This window comes from Homo sapiens, chromosome 21, assembly GCF_000001405.40.
Source record: "Homo sapiens chromosome 21, GRCh38.p14 Primary Assembly".
Classification (NCBI taxonomy): domain Eukaryota; kingdom Metazoa; phylum Chordata; class Mammalia; order Primates; family Hominidae; genus Homo; species Homo sapiens.
In genome coordinates this window covers 39,046,452-39,067,410 of record NC_000021.9, presented here as the reverse complement: position 1 = coordinate 39,067,410, position 20,959 = coordinate 39,046,452, and the positions used below count along the sequence as shown (strand labels likewise).

At 45.4% G+C, this 20,959-nt stretch overlaps 1 long non-coding RNA gene across 2 annotated transcripts in view, besides 2 other annotated features; it reads left to right on the top strand.

The window, feature by feature from the left end:
• Positions 1-20,959, top strand: part of LINC02943 (long intergenic non-protein coding RNA 2943) — a 56,010-nt gene that overhangs the window by 17,123 nt on the left and 17,928 nt on the right. The window lies entirely within an intron of this gene.
• Positions 4,537-5,119: an enhancer, noted in NCBI's record as "H3K4me1 hESC enhancer chr21:40434218-40434800 (GRCh37/hg19 assembly coordinates)". NCBI's record gives its function as "activates a minimal SCP1, AML or CMV promoter by ChIP-STARR-seq in primed H9 embryonic stem cells {active_cell/tissue: H9 hESC(primed)}" and the evidence as "EXISTENCE:reporter gene assay evidence [ECO:0000049][PMID:30033119]".
• Positions 11,714-12,008: a silencer, noted in NCBI's record as "tiled region #7751; HepG2 Repressive non-DNase unmatched - State 23:Low". NCBI's record gives its function as "represses a minimal TATA promoter and a strong SV40 promoter by Sharpr-MPRA in HepG2 cells {active_cell/tissue: HepG2}" and the evidence as "EXISTENCE:reporter gene assay evidence [ECO:0000049][PMID:27701403]".

The window sequence follows — 20,959 nt, the reverse complement described above, 5'->3', positions numbered from 1 at the left end:
AGGTCAAATCATCCTCAGGAGGGATATCAAGAAGAGGAAAAATAAAATAAAACAAAACCACCAAGAAATCTAAGAGATTATGGACAGAACTATCCAGCCAGATCTCCCAGGGTGCCAATGACTCCATGGGAGAGGAAAAGGCCTGATGATGGCTGTATTAATATTCTGAATGCTTCTGGAACTTTCTAGGCTTATGGGTTGTATAGGATTTACTCAGATCTCTCTCTGCATTTCTTTCATATGATTTTAAAGAAAGATTCCTAAGAGGGCACTGGCATAAAAATTCCTTTTACACAAACACTCCACTGGAAAGCAAGGCCCTGCTTATGGGAGGTGCTAGGGCTTCGGGCCTCTGAGGAAATGTCTGCTGAGAGAGCCCCTGACCTGGCATGCTCTGCCCTGCTGAGGGACTAACAGTCTGCTTTCCTGTGGAGAAAGGCAGGAGAGGAGTGTGCATAATCCCCTGGATCACGTCTTGCAACAGAACAAAAACTGTAAAACGCCCAAGTTGTCTCTGGCACAGAAGTTTCTAGAACAGTGATTACCTAGTGATAGTCATTTACCAAGCTGCGCTCCTTTGGGGACATCCGAGAGTCAAATATGTGAGATTATTGCACTTTTTTCATTCCTTTGGTCATACTGAGTGGAAACATAAATGTATCAATCCTTTGTTTACGGCGCCTCAGAAACAGAGTGGCACGTTGCCATCTTACACCAGATGTGACTTTTAGGTGCTAAGAGGCACCCTGGGGTGGTGCCAGCTCTCTCTCAGAGGATGTTACCTAAACACATCACTCAAGACTCAAGACTCAAGAGTATTATTTCAAATGGCTCATAGTTCACCTACTCTTAAAAACTAAAATAACTATCTGTTTTTCCTAATTCGCCAGGTCATATGTGCCCATTGTATTAAAAGAAAGTTGGAAAATTAGTGTAAAGGATGACATTTATCCATAATAAGCCCACCACCCAAAATAGCCACTGCAAACATTTGGGCATTGAACATACTGATTTACATAGCTTGGATCTTACTATATTGATATTTTTTCCTGCCTTTTCCCACGTAATATTGTGTCATAAGCATTTTCTATGTTACTGAAAATTATTTGTCAGCATGGTTTTTAAAAAACTTAACGCAAAATTTAAAAACATATACCAAGTTAGAGAGCCATTTATCATGAAGCGAATGTACTGACCACCTAGCCTCAAAAATTATCAATTTAGCCAATCTTGTTTTTTCTAACCTCTTTAATCTTTGCCCTTACCCAATTGTTTTGAAGCAGTTTCCAAGAATCAGATAATTTTATCTCTAAATGTTTCAGTGTGTATCTGAAAGATAAGGAAAAGACAAAGAACTTAAAAACAAATAACCACTATACTGTTATCTCATATAAAAACAATCTTTTAAAATATCAGCAAATACTTAGTCAGTGTTTACAGTTCCTAAATTGTCTTAAGAATTTTTTTGGATGATTTATTTGAATTGGGATCCAAACAAGTTTAGTTTGTTTAAATTGGTTCATAAGTCCCTCTCTGGTTGTATGGTCATTTATTAATTGAAAAAATCAACGCATTTGCCTTGTAACTTCCTATAGTGCCATGCTTTTGTCTAACATGTTTCTCTATGCCTTGCTTTTCCTAAACTTTAGTAGTTGGAGCTAGAGGTTTGATCAGATTTGAGTTTAAATTCTTGAGTGTTAAGATGACTTCATAGATGTTGCTGGGCTCTTCTATCAGAAAGTATTTAAAACCAGCTTCTCTCAGGTTTTCTTGTGGTTTCCATTGCCTTGATCCATGAATTCATTAGGAGTTTCAAAATGTGACATTAGATCATCCCTTCTTTGTTTACTAATTGGAATCCTTTCGCCCATCAATTCTTTTGTTATCCTGCAGTTTGTATTGTGAAGGCAAAGATTAGTAAATGCCTTATCTTTTCTCTTTATCAACTTCAGAGTAGCGATGTGGTTCATGACCATCTTCCAGTTGTGAGCAGTGAGCTTTTTAATATTATTATGAACCTATGGATTCAGCCTATTGTAGTTATTATTTTTATTGATGCTTAAATTATATCTTTTTTTTTTTTGAGACAGAGTCTCCCTCTGTCATCCAGGCTGTAGTGCAGTGGCACAATCTGGGCTCATTTCAACCTCTGCCTCCCAGGTTCAAGCCATTCTTGTGCCTCAGCCTCCTAAGTAGCTGGAATTACAGGTGTGCACCATTATGCCCAGCTAATTTTTGTATTTTTAGTAGAAACGGGGTTTCACCATTTTGGCCAGGCTAGTCTTGAACTCCTGGCCTCAAGTGATCCACCCGCCTCAACCTATCAAAGTGCTAGGATTACAGGTGTGAGTCACCATGCCTGGCCTTTATTTTTGATGAGTAAGATTTTATTCAGATGAACTCCTGATTTCTTTTGGCATGCCCCTATTAATGTTTGGTAGCTTCTTTGATTTCTGGATGACACAATTTTAGATTCATTGTGTGTATTTTCATTTTCGGATCTGGAATCAGCCATTCCTGCAGGCAGCCCCGTTCTTTTTGGTAGGAAATGGTATTTAGAGACCACAGTGCAGCATGACAGTGCTCAGTGCTGCTGGGTTGATGATACATTTCTAGGCCTTTTCAGGGGACAGTATCTTCTTAAAGATAGTTTATATTTCCTTTGAGATCAAATGCATCATGAACTCATACTGACAGATGATTTTGTGAGCCAGGCAGTTGAGCAGGGACTGGCGGGGTGATTCTTCTGTTTCAGGCGTCCTGAACAGAAGTCACTTAATTATATTCAGCTGTGAATGGGTTGGTTTAGAGTATTTGAGTGGCTGTTGACTTCCATGTCTGGTGACTTGAAGTGGATGCCAGAGGGTGAGGCTTAGCTGAGGCTTAGGCCGAGCACCTGCAGAGTGCTTGGACTCCTCACCTGGCCTCAGGGCTCCTAGAGAGCATGTTCAGCAGGGCCAGGCAGAAACTGCAAGAGTTCTAATGGCCTAACCTCACAAGTCTCAGAATGTCACTTCACTTCCACCATGTTCTTTCTTCTTTTCTCTTTTTAAGAGACAGGTCAGGCTGAAGTGCAGTGGCATAGCTCACTGCCTGGAACTCCTTGGCTCAAACAATTGTCACACCTCAGCCTCCCGAGTAGTTGGGACTATAGAGCTGCCTATCATGCCTACCTAATTTTTTTATTTTAGCAAAGATGGGATCTTGGTACATTGTGCAGGCTGGTCTCAAAACTCCTAGCCTTGGGTGATCCTCCTGCCTTGGCTTCCCAAAGTGCTGGGATTATAGGAGTGAGCCACAGCACCCAGCAAAGAAGTAGCAAAGAATATATATATATATTTTAGAGACAGGGTCTGTAAAAAAAAAAAAAAAAATCACCCAGGCTGGAGTGCAGTGGTGCAATCATAGCTCACTGTAGCCTCTTAACTCCTGGGCTTATGTGATCCTCCCACCTCAGCTTCCTGAGTAGCTGGGACTACTAGTGTCTACTGTCATGGCTGCCTAATTTAAAATGTTTTTTGTATAGACAGGTCTCACTATGTTGCCCAGGCTGGTCTCAAACTTCTGACCTCAGGTGATCCTCTCACCTCAGCCTCTCAAAGTGCTGTGATGACAGTTGTGAGACACCAGCCTATGTGGCTGTCTTAAATCTACCACAAAAGGTGTATATTTTTGGTTACCTCTCTATTAATACTTGTATATAATAATCATCCTATCTCTCTTTTCTTTTTGCCTATGGTCTCTCAGTTCCCTATTGTGAGCAATATTGAAAGCAGCTATAACCTCTTCTTCTCTTTCTCCTACCTCTTCTCCAGCATCTGATTTGAAAAACATCCTTTTATTCCTGGTTAATACCTGTAAGGCAATCAGGAGGTTTATTCTACTCTTTATATGCACTTCCCATCATTCCACCATTTGATAGGGTTGTTCTGTGTCTCACTCTCAGAGCATAACGCCATTGCCAGCCACACTCTCTCCATCATAACCATCACTCATCCTTAGTTCTGCAGGTAAGTGTGGCATTTAATGCTCACCGCCACTACTCACATCCGTGGCTCTCTACTCTTTCTGAATACACCTGTACAATATTTTCGGGCACCTGTCATGAGGTAGAAGTGAGAAAGACGTGTCCTCTCTGAGAAGGCTCCGCATCCCTCTACATCTCTTGCTGCTCCCACCGTTGTTCTCCATCTCCAGACATGACACCTGGTGGCTCTTGGTTGACCTTGACTGGCTCGGAGGGTGGAAGCTGGATGCCACTGTGTGGCACACTGGGACACTCCATCCAGCAGCCCTGCTGCCTGTCCCCATGCACCAGCTTCCTTCCTACCTTCCCCACTGCTGCTGGCACCACAAACATGGGGCTGGAGAGGCGAGTGAATGGAGCAAGGTGAAATAGCATTGGAGAGGTGGGCGTGCAGCCTCGGAGCACAATTCTATGGACAAGAACACTGCCTCTAAGTCCAGGATCTGGTGAAAGCGAGGGTGCAAGATGTTTGCAAATTAAGTAAGACACAGGCAGTAAGGGAAGGCTGAGATGAATGCAGAATGGGGTTAGCGAGCTGCAGGTTGTCATGGTGCAGCGATTTTCTTAGGCGATGACGGGGCCCTGCCCAGATTCCCCAGCTGCGATGCTCAGGAACTCAGGGGGAGAAAGGTGACCAGGTCTCATGGAGAGGATTAATGTGCGGAACACGCAGCCGCTCCAGATCCCCTGGAGAGGATCTCGTTCCCGTGAAGCTGGCAGCTCCCGGAGGGCTGAGTGCTTGTTTCTGCTCTCACTGTGTTAGCTGCCTACAAGCGTCCCCGCTGGCCTTTGCCTTACCGCCTCGAGACTACTGCTACCCTGAGCATCTTTCGTCTCAGGTATGGGCAGGAAGGAGTGGAGGCTCATCCAGGATCCCTGCACATGGCCTGAGGCCTCATGGCCTCAGCTGCCCACACTGTGTGTGACTCTCAGCCTGACTCACCCTAAAGCTGGTGCCTTCCTGTGGGTCTCATGTTCTGCCTGCAGCGGCAGGGCTGGGCTGGGCTGCAGCCCTCCCCCGTGCTGGTGAGCCTGTGTGTTGGAGGCCTCAGGCCAGGTAGCTCCTGGGTGCTGGTCACCTCCATGCCTGCCGTGGGCAGCTGTGGGTAGAACGTCTGGGATCAGGCATGGGGACTCATGTGTGGGGACCCCGCAGAGGGGGGCCGTGGCCTGCAGGCTTCCCCAGGCTCTAGGAAGGGTGAGGAGGGGAAGGAGAATGGGGCTCACTGCCTGGGAATTCATCACCTCTCTCCTGTCTGACCAGCGCTGTGCTATAGGAAGTGGCCCCACTGTCCTGGCCCCAAGGGACCAGGTCTCATTAGGAAGGTGAGGTCGGCCCATGCATGGAGTTACATACCTGGGGAGGCCAGCAGTGTGGAAACTGCCCAGGGGCACATGGGGATGCAGGAAGTTCGTCCCCTGGTGGTGGCTCATCCGGTCCCATCTAGCAGGAGTGGGTGATGCCTTCAGATGACAGCAGCTCTGCAAGCGTAGACAGCAGCCTGTCCACGCAGAGCTGGGGGTGGCCTGGCCATGTGAGAGGCGGGCAGAGGGCTTGTCCCTCAGGTCAAATGAGACGCCAGGTCTGGGGAGTCTCAGAGCGGGTCACACTGACGCCCAGCTGCTCTCGTCCATCCCTCGTCCTCTGCTCCTGTTCTGAGGATGATGGTGGGGTCATGTGAACCCAGCCAGTGAGCTAAGGCCTTGTTCTGAAGCCTCATTGATGAGCTCCTCCATGGGGTGACTGAGACTCTATGGGCCGAACCATACCACGGTCCCCAAATGGCTTGGAAAATGCGTTGATTCCTCTATTACATCTTCCTCCAGCTCTGTCACACTGCAAGCTGTGGATTTTAGCTCCTTCTGAGTGAGGTGCCTTTCAGTCCAGCTGGTGGGGGGTGGCGGTGGTGGTTCCAATCAGGGCACATTGATCACAAGCCTCCCAGTTTGGAAAACCAAACTGTTGGTGCAGAAATAGCAAAGGTTCTTAAACCCTGTTGGTGGGATCTGGAGAGGGGCTGAAGATGGGCTGAGCAGTAAGTGGTCCTTCAGAAACCACCGAGAGAGACAGCAGAGGTAGTGCTGACGGGCTGTGTCCCTGTGCCTGTTGGTCAGCCCTGCTCCGTCCTCCTGCTTCTATGAGCCCCTCCTCTGGGTTCCCCCCTGTTGGTGGGTGTCCGCAGCCCCTGTGCCTTGGGGACAGCCCAGGCAGATGGGACAGCAGGTTCTGTGCATGGGCCTGAGTGACCTGCTGCCTGTGTCTGACATTGCAGGCTGGCTCCAGGCTGCTCTGGGGGTGCTGGAGGGGAAATGGATGAGCAGGAGGCTCGGGGACCCTGCAGAGGAAGGTGAGGGCCCTGCAGATGCCCCGTCAAAGCTGGGATGGGTGTCTTTCAGCAAGCCTGCAAGCTGTCACCTGCTCCCAGGGAAAATAGGAATCCCAAGTTGCGGCTGTCACAGCAGGACCAGCTGGGGACAGGTCACCGAGAAATTCTAGCTGCAGGACAGCTGACAGGTGATTTATTCCGGGAGGGAACATATTGTGACTTATCCCTGTGGTTCCACACCAAGAGAGGCTACGAATATGGGCCTCGCAAAGGGCAGAGTGGAATGATGCTCTAGGAAATTCAGAGGTGGAGTGAGGGATTGAGTGTGTGTGTATGTGTGTGCATGCATGTGTGTGCACGTGTGTGTGTGTGTGTGTGTGTAAAATGCCCTTTAACTGCCTTTCCCCTGGGTTGAATGTTGTTGGTTGAGATATAATTTGTGTGGGTCTCAAATTTTGATATTTGAGTGTGTGTGTATGTATGTGCATGCATGTGTGTGCACGTGTGTGTGTGTGTGTGTGTGTGTAAAATACCCTTTAACTGCCTTTCCCCTGGGTTGAATGTTGTTGGTTGAGATATAATTTGTTTGGGTCTCAAATTTTGATATTTCCAGTAATTGAACATAATTTGGAGTGTTTGCAATAAAGTTTCCACGTGTGTGCAGTGAGGTGAGAGTAGCGTGGAGCTGGACTGGATGCCCAACAGATCTGCAGTTTGGTTTCAGCTCTGCCACCATCGATCCTTGTGATCTTCAGCAGACAACTTGTGCTCTGTAAGCCTCAGCTTCTTCATCCATTAAATGGGGCAGCAACCCTTGTCTACCTCCCAGCACTGTTGGGAGTGGAGAAGGAGAGACCCTTGGGAGTTAGGACAGAGATAGATGGGCAGGGGCCGTGTCGCTCCCCATCTTAGCGTCTTTCTAAGTGCCGAACTTGGAGCTTTGCACGTTGCATATACTGGATAAGCATTTGCTGCATTACATTTTTATCCAGTTTTAGAAAGATTCCCTGAATAGCAACAGGTTAGAAAAGGAGAAAGCAGAGGCAGGACTAAAATCCATGCATTGGGTTGGACTCTTCTCTACCCACAAAGGTGGGTCTTGCTTCACAGAATTTTGACAAAGGGGCCTGGTTTAAACAAACCCCAAAACAGCCCAAAGTCTTCCTTTGGGACGGAGAAGCTGGCTGCATTCTCACCTTAGCTGGGTGTTTCCTGAAGCTTCCCAAATGGAGATCATTTGATCCATAAGGAAAGTGACAAGGAACTCTCTTTGGCATAAGTCCCCGAAACGGAGTTCACAGACACTGAATTCCAAGTATCCATGAGGAGGGTTGATATTTCCAGGGTCTCGTCTTGCTGATAATCTGAGCCTCTTCAACCATGCATCATTTTATGGTATTTTTCCACGAGCAAGAGTGGTCACTTATATAATTTATAAAACTTTATAACTTATATAACTTTAATAACTTGCTAAAAATAACAGCAATTATAATGCTTGAATCTGGGACATTTCTCAGTGCATGAGAGGAGCTTGCAAGAATTGAGAGAAGATTAAGCACGGTCATAGGTGGTGGCTGTGTCCTGGCGTTTCTGTCTGCGTGGCTTCTGTGTCGTTGATCTATGTGTATATATTTGTATGTGTGTGTGAGACAAACTTGAGGTCCACATACTGAAACTGTTTGAGTTAGTCAGCATAGGCTAACCTCTGTAACACACAACCCCAATTTTTCAGTGGCTCAGAACAATGGAGTTTCTTTCTTACTCATGTAAAGTCCAGGTGATGGCAGAAACTTGCGGGGGAGAAAGTCTACTCCACAGCATCACTCAGGGACCCAGGCTCCTGCCTTACGGTGGTTCCATTTTCCAGGGCCTTCCCATCTCCTCCATTCAGCTGGTGGATGTGGGAGGAGACTGCGTGTATGAAAGACCACACAGAAGCTTTTTTTTTTGAGACGGAGTTTCGCTCTTGTTGCCCAGGCTGGAGTGCAATGGCGCAATCTCGGCTCACCGCAACCTCCGCCTCCCAGGTTCAAGCAATCCTCCTGCCTCAGCCTCCCGAGTAGCTGGGATTACAGGCATGCACCAGCACGCCAGCTAATTTTTTTGTATTTTTAGTTGAGACAGGGTTTCTCCATGTTGAGGCAGGTCTCAAACTCCTGACCTCAGGTGATCTGCCCGCCTCGGCCTCCCAAAGTGCTGGGATTACAGGCATGAGCCACCGCGCCCGGCCCACACAGAAGCTTTTTATGAGCCAGACCAGGAAGGGGCATAAGTTCCTTCTGCACCTATTCCATTGGCCAGAATGGTCACACCCTCACCCATCTGCAAAAGACACTGGGAAATTTGGTCTGGCCATGTGTCTAGGAAGCAGAGCAGCAGGTGACAAGAATAGATGTGAACACAAGGTGTTCCCTGTCATCCTGGCCAACCTGCGAATGGGTATAGCAAACTATCCCAGAAATGGCAAATAAGCTTTCCACGGAATCAGAGGATAGTAAGTTAGCATCTACTATGTTTCCTTGGGATTCCATTGCTTTTCAACTCGGTGAGAAGGTGTGTAAAATTAATATTTTGTGATTAAAGTCTTTCCCAGTGTTTAGGCAGACTCCATAGACCAGATTTAACGTGTTTGTATAAAGGCCTTAAGATACACAGTTTTAAAAAGCATTGTGAAGAATTGTGAGCTGTCTGAGATTTTACCTTACTTGCAAACTAACAAGTGGGCCTGCCATAGTTTCATGGATTCTGGCAGAAGACTCCCAGGTCAGAGATTTCATCTGTCTTGTTCACTATTGTCTACATAGTGCCTGGAAAAATACAGCCTGGCACACAGAACCCTCAATCAGTATTTATGAATGAGTGAACAGGTAAATGTTAGCTATTATGATTATGACTATTATTTCTTTTTTTTTTTTTTGAGATGGAGTCTCGCTCTATTGCCAGGCTGGAGTGCAGTGGCATGATCTCGGCTCACTGTAACCTCTGCCTCCCGGGTTCAAGCGATTCTCCTGCCTTAGCATCCTGAGTAGCTGGGATTACAGGTGCCTGCCACCACACCCGGCTAATTTTTTGTATTTTTAGTAGAGATGGGGTTTCACTGTGTTGGCCAGGATGGTCTTAAACTCCTGACCTCAAGTGATCCACCCACCTCGGCCTCCCAAAGTGTTGGGATTACAGGCGTGAGCCACCATGCCCGGCCAGTGCTAGCTATTATTATGACCTACTCTCATCAAGTCCCTTTCTGTCCCTGTATCCCCTGTCTCACATCTCAGTTGCCCAAATCAGAAATTAAGGGCTACTGTCAACTCTCTCTACCACGTGGAAGCCATCGCATGCATGAAAACACCTACCACCCCAAAATGATTCCTGCATGTGCCAACTCATGTTGATATGATTCTGCTGTTGCTGGCTTTGAAGGAGGAGGAAGGAGCCATGGAATGCAGGCAGCCTTGTCTAGAAAACCAGTCAAGGTAAAGAAACAGATTCCCCCCTGAAACTTCCAGAAGGAACCAGCCCTGCTGACACCTCAATTTTAGCCCAGTGTTTCCCATTGCAGATATCTGGCCTCCAGAACTGCAAGATAATCCATTTGTGTTGTTGTAAGCCACTGTGTTTGTGGGAACTTGTTATGGCAGCAGCAGGAAAGCAATACACCTGGCAAGGAGAGAGGGGGCTCACCAGGAGCCCTCCCTCCTGATGGCAACTAGCCAGTGCTGCTGGCCATGCTCCTGAAGCATTTTGTTTGTAGAATGAGCACAGAGGGAAGAGGAGTGTCTGGCGGGTGGGCATGGGCAGGGATTGGAGTCTCTGAGGAGGTTTCCAGGTGAGGCTGGAAAAGGAGCCAGGAGGGAGTGTCTGGGCTCCTCCTTCATCTTACTGAGTCTTCAGCATGTCCCTAAGGGCATGGGGGCAGGAGGGAAAGGAGCGGTTAAAATTAGCACACAGGTGCACCGTGGCTCAATAACACCAAACCCCCTCTATGTTGTGAGAAGAGAATTTTTCTTTCCTTTGCAGGAATTCTGTGACTTTGCAATTTGCCTCACATCAGTGCGGTTAAGATCTAGGAAGCTTACATGAGCTCAATTTTCTATATTCTGGTTGTTGTGAGAGTGGCATTTTCTGTTTCTAAGTCCTTTTTAATATTCTTGTCATCTGCCACTTGTTCCTCTCTCCTAGTTTTCCAGTGGAACTTGGAACTTAATGAGGAGGAAAAAAATTGCAGATAAGACTTCAAAGGCGAATGTTCTAAATTTCTAAAAGGAGAATACTGAAAAGGAAAAATGTTCCAAGCAGCATCTCAAAGGGAAGGAAGAGAAAAAAAGTGACAGCAAATTAAAAATGGGATTAGGCAATAGGCCTGAATGGTCAGGGGTGAGATGGGAAGTAAAGAGAAGAAACTGAAGGGGTCCCAAAGAAAAGCATAGCACCTGCCGGTGATCCTGTCTCCCAAAGAGGGGGACATGGGTGGAAGTACAACAAGGAAAGAAAGTCTGGGTATTGCCCTAAACGTTAGAAAGTTCTAAGAAGGGAGGCATGCTTCACAGACACAATTGTTTGATTTTTCTCTTCTGATCTTTTCTCTTCTATTAGATGTCTTTCCTCAAAGCTCCATCATGTCAGAGGGAACAAATGGCTTTCGGAATTCATGCACTTTCTTTCACAAACTTTGAATAGTAATGCTGTTAATAGAGATTGCAGAGTCTTGGAGCACAGATTCCATTTTCTTCCACCTGTGACATCTTGGTGCTCTTTTGTTCCATGTGCTTTTGTATGCAGTACACTTTTCACAGGACTCCAAATACAAAGATGATCCTGATGATTGAAAGGAACAGTATTAAATGATTTATGCAGGTATCTATTTGTGAAAAATGCAGAATGCTTTGTTTCGCCCAACATTATGGAATTTGTACGTCCTTGTTGGGTGATTTTGTGGATTTTTCAGTAATCATTCTCTCTACAACTGCTTAGATGTTAGAAAATGTCTCTTGATATTGGCAGGTAGCTGTGCCTCTGAGCTGACAAATAGTCTCAATACAAAGATATTGCTAAACACTTGCATGTAGACACATTCTCTGGTGCCTTTCCTTACTGGTTAGAGCTTTGGTTTGCAGCTGTTTCTCAATCACGTTTCAGTTGTGTTAATTATGCTTTGTTAATTTGTTAAAGTTTTGTGTTTGCTGTCATGTGTAATCATAACATTGTAATAAAAGCCAATAATTTGTAGGTGATGGCAGATGGTGAGGACCCACATGAGTGCCAAAAGAAAGAAATGAATTTATAGATCACATCACAATATTTTTGTCTTCAAAGTTCCTTCCTGTTTCTCCTGCAAAATCCTTGCATGTGTGCTGGGGGTGTGTGTGGAGGACATGAGCCTTTGAGGTGATTTTTCTCCAGGAAGTCCTTATGATGCCAGCTCTCCATGACAACTGTTGAAAACACATTGAGATGTTTTCCGAAACAACCAACACAATAATAATAACGAAATTACTGGAAGCAAGGGTAGAGAGCGGTCAAGGCAATTAAGAAGTTTCTGAGTAGCAGATCAGTCATTTCAGTTATGTTAGAAATTGTCATTGTCTTGAATCCCTTTGATGAGAAATCTCTCTGGATCCTTTGTAACTCCTTTGGAGTGAGTGTCTTGGAAAAAACAAGTGTCATTTCTCGTTTCTCTTGGGGAAGAGGAAGATGGAATATTTTTTCCCACTCTTGAGCAGTGTGTGATTTTGCCAGATTCCGTTGTGTGAACCTTGGGAGCAGATGGCATTGATGCGATAAATGGCCACAGTTTCTGCAAATAATTTGGAATCCTGGGGAAATTTTTCTGAATAGACTGGAAGATGAGGACTGTGCCAGGGAAGTAGATACTTGATAATGAATGGAGTTTCCACCATGGTACACAGCTATTTCATGCCAGTTGCCCACCTAGAGAGGGCAGACCAACCTGTGCATGTCTGAGCTGGGAATGCTGACCAGTCTCAGCTTTTGGGGTGGCTGAGCTCTCTGAGACCCGCCCACAGCCGGTGTGGCTCTGTCCCACAGTTGGAACTTCAAGTCAGCATTCAGCTACAGTTATGCTGCGGTGGCATCCAAACGAAGATCTCCCCTGGGGCTCTTGTTCCGACTTGCAATTACGAGAGTAATTCACTAACCTGGAAAGCAGAGCCCCTTCCAGTGGGGAAAATGACATTGGAATGCGTCTTTGTGTGGATTCTGGCTACTGTCACTGCACACTTGCAGGCTCTTTGGGGAGGACAGTCCCACTCATGGGGCCCCTGGTTACAAAGACATAGCCAACCCCAGGTCTTGCTATCTCCACCCCAGAGACCTGGGTATCTGAAGATGGGAGAGGAAGAAGGAGTTTGTCCCTTTCTTCCTTGACCCTCCATGGCTGATTTTTCCTTGAGGAGTGAAATCATGGTCTCCCCTTCTCCATAACCTCTAGCACCATGAAATGGTCACATGTTCCAGTTCATCATCAGATTTTTGAGAATCTCAAAGTCTTTGAGAAAGATCCTCTAATTCACTGGCGTCTTCCCTGGAGTTTTCTTGAGGCCCTCAAGTCAATAAGAACTGAGCCAGCAGTTAAGCCATGTTTGCATAGATTCATAGAAACATTGGAAGCTCCCGGATCCAAGACTCTGCCTCCAGGGCCTTTTCCATGAAGCACTTACTCCTTCTTGGGCAAAGCCAGGGTTAGTGAAATCTTCACGAGCAGTCCTGGAAACCCCACAGCTATTATAACTCCCTCAGTGTGAGGAACTCCAGACCCAAAGAGCATGCTGCCATTCCTGCTGTTCCTGACAGGGCGACATTCCCAGCTTGAACAAGTGCATGCCGGTCTGCCCTCTCTAGATGAGCAACTGTCATGAAGTAGCTGTGTACCATGGTGGAAATCCCATTCATTATCAAGTATCTACTTCCCTGGGAAGTGGCACCACCCTCATCTTCCAGCTATCACCTCACTGATGAGTCCATAGCAGGGATTGGTAAACTTTCTCTATAAAGAGCCAGACAGTGGTTATTTTAGGCCTTGCTGGCCATCTGGGCAAGTACTCACTTCTGCCATTCTAGCCTGAGAACAGCTATGAACTATATATAAGTGAATGGGTGTGACCGTGTGCCAGTAAAACTTTATTTAAAAAAACAGGCAGTGGGCCAGATTTGGCTTGTGGGCTCTAGTTTGCTGACTCCCTGGCTATAGTAGCTCTCATTCCATAAAAAAGGATTAGTTTTCTTACGATCTTAGCTTATTGACTATAAAGGCATAGTTCTATCATACTGTGGTAAGAACAGAGGAATGTCGAACAGATGAACAGATGGAGGGATGTAGCTAGTGGAGCACAAAGGAGGGGCCCCTCACCTGCCCAAGTGGGGGACTTCTAGGTGGAGAGGGTGTGGGGATTTCTCAGGTGTAGTGGTGATTAAGGTGGGTTTTGAGGATAATATGAGTCCCATATCAAAACCAGAAGAGTGTTCAGGGGAAATTCACACAGCACGTGCAAAGGAGCTGGGACGTGGCAGAGCTGGGGTGTGGGGGACCCTGCATGTACTCTGCAGTGTAACTGCCTCGGTCAAGGGGGCTAACCTCAGCAGCAGAGGGGGCTGGGAAAGCCGGCCAAGACCGAGTCTGAGTGGTCTTACATCTCAGGCAAAGGAATTTGGGTTGAGAAGTTTTAAGCGGGTGGCAGACGTGATCAGAACTGGGAGGGTAGTGAGAAGAGGAGACCCGAAGTGGGTGGGATTTGGCGTGTGGGAGCCGATGCTTGGCCCTGGCTTGAGGACCTTTGGGTGAGCTCTGAGTTCTCTGCAAGTTTGGTCCAGGGCCCTGGCTCATAATTCCTTCAAGTCTTCCAAGTTCAGCCTTTCACGTCTGCATTACCTTGGGTCACTTAGCGGATTCCGCATCCTGTGTGTGTCTCAGCTGCTTCATCTAAACCTTGCACCCGTGCACCTTATCCAACAACAGAGAAGCATTTCTGGCGCCGTGGTTGGTTCTGTGTGTCAATGTGGCCAGGCTGCAATACCTAGTTGTTTAATCAAACCCTGGTCTAGTCATTGCTGTGGAGGCATTGTGTCGACGTGGCTAACAGCTGCAGTCAGTTGACTTTAAGTAAAGGAGGTTATCCTTGATAATTTGGGTGGGCCTCATCCAATCAGTGGAAAGGCCTTAAGAGGCAAACTGAGGTTTCCTTGTGGAAGAAGAAATTCCATCTGCTGACTGCAGTGTCAGCTTCTGCCCGAGAGTATCCAGCCTGCCAGCCTGCCCTGCAGAGTTCAGACTTGCCTGGCCTGGGCCCACAATCGTGTAAGCCAGGTCCTTGAAATCAGTCTCTCTCTCCTCTGTCTCTACATACATTTTATACACACACACATGCACATTTAATATATATTTATAAAATATACATTGTATATATACATAATAGTAATATATATTCATATATAAAAAAGTAATCCATAGATATACACATTTAATATATATTTATAAACAATAGTAATATATATTCGTGTATATGTGTGTGTATGTATGTGTGTGTATATGTGTATGTGTATATATATGATCAGAATGTGTATATGTACACACACATTTAATATATATTTATAAAGTATACATTATATTTTATATACATAATAGTAATAGATGTATTTGTATGTATGTTTATGTGTGTGTATGTATATATGTGTATGTGTGTGTGATGTGTATATACATGATCAGAATGTGTGTATATATACACATTTAATATATATTTATATAATGTATATTTTATATATATTTATATACATAATAGTAATATATATTTGTGTGTACGTATGTGTGTTTATGTGTGTATGTACCTATGTGTTATGTGTGTATGTGTGTATATATATGTATGATGTGTATATACATGATCAGAATGTGTGAATACATACACACACACATATATATGAAATTGATCTGTTTTTCTGGTAGAACCTGACTGATACACATAGTAAAGGTAAACTTGATGATACATTTCATTAATAAAGTGCAAATTCAATGGTATGTTTCCCACTATGAAGGTAGGAAAAAAATAATCATTCTTTAATGGAGGGGGTTGATCTATTTTTGCTTCTTCTGCCTTCATCCCAGAGGGTCATTAAGAGACACCAAGGCTTCTGTTGACACAAATTCTTTGGAATGTGTAGCTGTCCCTCCCCATCCCTCGAGCTTTGGATGGGCCTGGGCTGCATGTTCAGCCATGATTCCCAGGGATGAATCAAGGACTCAAGGCATTGTGGGTGATTGCCTGATTCCAGCTCTGCAGGCAGGATTATTCCTTGTTCTCCATACCCTAGCGGGGCTTGGGGAAGATCCAGTGATGTGTTTAGGCATTATTCATCCTTGCTAATGGATAAGTCATCTCACGCAGATGACAGAGCTTGTCTGGGGAAGTAACTTCATGGGCTCAGAAGAAAGTTATGAGCCATGTCAAGTCTGAGCCTTAAAGTAAATTGCCCGGTTGGCTTTCAGGCTCAATGCCAGGAAGGGGACAGCATAGGCAATGGGGGCTGGGTCTTTTCACAGACATTCTGTTGAGCAGCCTCAACACCTGCTTGTAGGAACACAGTCCAACAAGTGTTTCTCTAAATTCTCACAGGCAGAATTCACTGTGCAATTTGGCTGACGGCCTAGGGGACTGGAAGAGGATTTCTGTGAACCAAGGTGGCAGGGGACAGGAAGAGCTGCCACTGGCTCGGTTCAGAGGCCCTGAACAGAGGGAATGCCTTCTGATGCCTGTCATCATGGCTAAGGATACAACTTAAAAGGGAATGGAGGAGATATAGGAGACCTGGACCAGGGGCCTTGGTTCCAGGAAAGAAAAACATTCATAAATTTTAGTTGCTGTTGCAGGATTTAGGCTCCAAACTTAAAGTGGAGTGAAGATTAGTCCAGATAGTTGAGCCCTAGCCAAGAGCTGGTTCCAATGAAGGCCACGTCAATATCATAAAATTAACAATTGCACCACTGTCATCACATGCCACCAGAGGCTGGGCCCAGTGGTCTCTCCTTTCCAGCCTCCACTTAGTGTTTAAGGCCAAGGGCTGAAGGAGGGTGTGGATTCATGTGGAGAGGAAAGAAGAGAATGAACATTTTCCTGGAAGAGATCAACTCTAACCCACTGATGCTCACAGAGGCCCTACACTTGTTCCAGTTGCTAAACCTCTGCCTAGGGTTGCCAGATTTAGCAGATGCCTGTAAAAAGTGGTGCTGGCACAACCAGACACCCACATGCAAAAGCATGAAGTTGGACCTCTTCCTTACACCGTATACCAAAATCGATCATAGGCCTAAGTGTAAGAGCTAAAACTATAAAACTCTTAGAAGAAGACATAGGAGTAAATCTTTATAACCTCGGGTCATGAAAAGCCTTCTTAGCTATGACACCAAAAGCACAAACAATAACAATAAGGCCAGGTGTGGTGGCTCATGCCTGTAATCCCAGCACTTTGGATGGCCGAGGCGGGTGGATCACTTGAGGTTAGGAGTTCAAGACCAGCCTGGCCAACATGGCAAAACCCTGTCTCTACTAAAAATACAAAAATTAGCTGGGCATGATGGCACGCCTGTAATCCCAGCTACTTGGGAGGATGAGGCAGGAGAATCTCTTGAACCTGGGAGGCTGAGGTTGCTGGAGTGCACTATTGCACTCCAGCCTGGGCAACAGAGTGAAACTGTCTCTCAAAACAACAACAACAACAACAACAGCAACAACAACAACAAGAAATAGATAAATTGGACTTTATCAAAATGAAAGAGTTTTGGGTTTCAAAGGAGACCATCAAGAAAATGAGAAGACAGCCCACAGAATGGGAGGAAAGATTTGCAAGTCATATATCTGATGAGGTCTAGTATCCAGAACATATAAAGAACCCTTAAAAATCAATAACAGAAAGATAAACAACTCAATTAAGAAACAAGCCAGGGATCTGAGAAGATTTTTTTTTTTTTCCAAAAAAGATACACAGGCCAGGTGTGGTGGCTCATGCCAATAATCTGAGCACTTTGGGAGGCCAAGGCAGGTGGATCACCTGAGGTTAGGAGTTGGAGAGCAGGCTGGCCAACATGGCAAAACCCCATCTCTACTAAAAATACAAAAAAATTAGCTGGGCATGGTGGTGCGTGCCTGTAATCCCAGTTACTCAGGAGGCTGAGGCAGGAGAATTGCTTGAACCTGGGAGGCGGAGGTTGCAGTGAGCTGAGATCGTGACGCCGCACTCCAGCCCGGGTGACAGAGCAAGACTATGTCTCAAATTAAAAAAAAAAAGAAAAGAAAAAGAAGATACATAAATGACCAATAAGCACATGAAAAGATGTTCATTAGCCATTAGAAAAATGTAAATCAAAATCACAATGAGATACCACTTCACACCACCAGGATGTCTATCATGAAAAAACCAGAAACTAATAAATGTAGTGAGGATGTGAAGAAATTGGAACCCTTGGATGTTGCTAGTGAGAATGTGTGTGTGTGTGTGTGTGTGTGTGTGTGTGTATATATATATATATATTTGAGATGGAGTCTCGCTCTGTCACCCAGGCTGGAGTGCAAGCTCTGCCTCCTGGGTTCACGCCATTCTCCTGCTTCAGCTTCCCAAGTAGCTGGGACTACAGGCACCCACCACCATGCCCGGCTAATTTTTTTTATATTTTAGTAGAGACGGGGTTTCACAGTGTTAGCCAGGATGGACTCAATCTCCTGACCTCGTGATCCGCCTGCCTTGGCCTCCCAAGGTGCTGGGATTATAGGCGTGAGCCACCGCGCCTGGCCGCATATATATATATTTTTAAAAAGTGCAGCTGCTATGGGAAACAGTTTAGAAATTTCTCAAAATGTTAAACATAGAGTTTCCATGTGACCCGGAAATTGTATTCCTATATATATATATGCAAGAGAAATGAAAACATATGTTTACAAAAAACTTAAACACAAGTGTTTACAGCAGTTTTATTATAATAGCCAAAAAAGTGGAGGCAACCCAAATGTGCATCAACTGATGATTGGATAAATAAAATCTGTTGTATCCATACAGTGGAATATTATTTAGCAATAAAAAGGAATGAAGTACTGATACATATTACAACATGGATGAACCTTGAAAAAACATGCTAAATCAAAGAAGCCACTCCTGAAGACCACATGTTGTGTGCTTTCATTTATACAAAATGTCCAGAATAGGCCGATCTCTAGAGACAGAAAGTAGATTAGTGGATGTCAGGGCCTGGGGCTGGGGCTGGCATAGGGAGTGGGTGTGACTAATGGATGTGGATTCCTTTGGGGCTGATGAAAATGTTCTAAAATTGATTGTGGCGATGGTTGCACAACCTCGTGAATATATTAAAAAGCATTGAATTGTACGCTTTAAATGGTAGGGTTGAATAGTATGTAAATTATAACTCAGTAAAACTGTAAAAATATAGGATGACTTGTTAAATTAAATTTCAGATAACCAGTGCTAATTTTTTATTTTTTGCAATATATTTCAGATACATTTCTTGCAATATTTGGGATGTACTTATACTAAAAAATTAGTCATTGTTTATCTGTAATTCAGCTTTAACTGGGTGTCCTGTATTTTATCAGGCAACCTCATGCATGTCGACTGCATGTGAGAATGACTTTAAGAATCATCCCCTCCAGGGCTCCTATCTTTTTATCCCTGTAGGGAATTTACTATCAGAGGCTGTATCACGGCTGTGGCTCCTGAGCTCGGAGGCCCTATTGTGGCTCCTGTTCTCTGAAAGCCCCACCTTGAGGCGTTTCCCTGGTAACCTCCAAACAACTCGTCAACCAGCCTGCAGGCCAGGGAGGGTTTTCCCAGAACAGTGAATGACAGGACTTATAGGCTACAGGGAAACAACTGGATTCTTTTCTGCATGTTGTTCCCATGAGATGAGCTCCTCTTCCATGACGCCTTGATTGAAATCAAGGCAGATTCCTTTGTTCCTCTGGTGACTTTCTCATCATCAAAAATTCTCTGGGCATTTCATTCTCCATAAAGTCTCTCTCTGCTCAGTAATTAGTATGTCCAGCCTCATCTACTCATGAAAACTCCTCACCTCACTCAAAATAGAAGATTCTTTTCTTCCAGGGCCAGCTGCAGACAGAAAATATGCCTTGGGAATGGGGGGTTGGTTCTTGTCTTTTTACTTAGGATAGCTCTGATAAGGTTTGGCTGTGTCCCCACCCAAATCTCATCTTGAATTGTAGCTCCCATAATTACTGCGTGCTGTGGGAGGGACCTGATGGGAGGTAATTGAATCATGGGGGCAGGTCTTTCCCGTGCTATTGTTGTGATAGTGAATATGTCTCATGAGACGTATGTAAGACATACCTTTGCTTCTCCTTTGCCTTCCGCCATGATTTTGAGACCTTCCAAGCCATGTGGAACTGTGAGTCCATTAAACTTCTTTCTTTTATAAATTACCCAGTCTCAGGTATGTCTTATATTACCACCATGAAAACAGACTAATATAAGCTCCTTCCTCCTCTCCCCTCCCCCTACCTGTCTCCAGGGAGGGGAGGGGCCAGGAGAGGAAGGAATAAAGGAGCAGGACCGTTCCTTCTTTCTGGTACCAATATGGCACTGTCCTTGGAGGCTGTTTAAACAGATAGATGCTTTCTCATGTTCTGCACAAATTCGTGAGAATTTTTGTATTCCACCTCATACTGTAGTTGTTTGTTCTTGATATGCATATATTGATCACCAATTAAACACTTCACTCTTCTTCCCTCCATCGGAATCCCGCCCCTACCCCTAGATCTTCAGGTTGAATTCCTGCTCCAGGTATCAATGGCACAGTCATGCTGGCTCATCCCAGGGGTGGGTGGGAATTGTCCAGTTAGAGGAGCATTGAGCTTGCTCTTGGGACATATGATCCCTAGAGAGTCATTCTTGTGGCCTGGTGGCCCAGGCTACATGGAGGTCTTTTGCTGTTGGGTGCCAGTCTGCATCACATGTATACACACACACACACACACACACACACACACACACACACACTTTATAGAGTGCAATGCTGTTATCTGATGTTTGCATTGCACTGAGCCTGCTAATAACCTCCAGGAAAAAATGCTGTTCTCTGCTCATGGAGGTCCTAAAAATATTGCCTGGCAATGGCTTCTCTGGGACATTCAGAAGGTGGGTTGGTACTGTGTCATCTGACCTTCCCTCCTTGAAATGCATGCTTGCTCAGGAAGAGAAGACTCAGATGTCCTTTCCAGCTGCCAGGGCCTGGGGCATTCTGCAGAGAATTGTTCTGGAGCATTTCCTGGAATAGTCACCTCCTCAGATGAGTACAGAGGGGCTGCGGAAGAGGCACAAAGTCAGCATTGCTACCACTGGGACTGAAGGGTGAATGTCTAGGAACCAGCATGATCAGAGACACCACACAAATGCAGGGGAGACCCCCGGCGCCGAGGTCAGGGGTAGGTGCTATGAGGAGTGGCGGGGACATGGGCAGGCCTGGGTCCACTGCCGTGTACAGACACGTCATTCACAGAAGCCGAGAGGTGGAAGCAACCCAAGTGTCCTTTGACAGATGAATGGAGAAGCAAGATGTGGTCCATCCACGTAATAATATTAT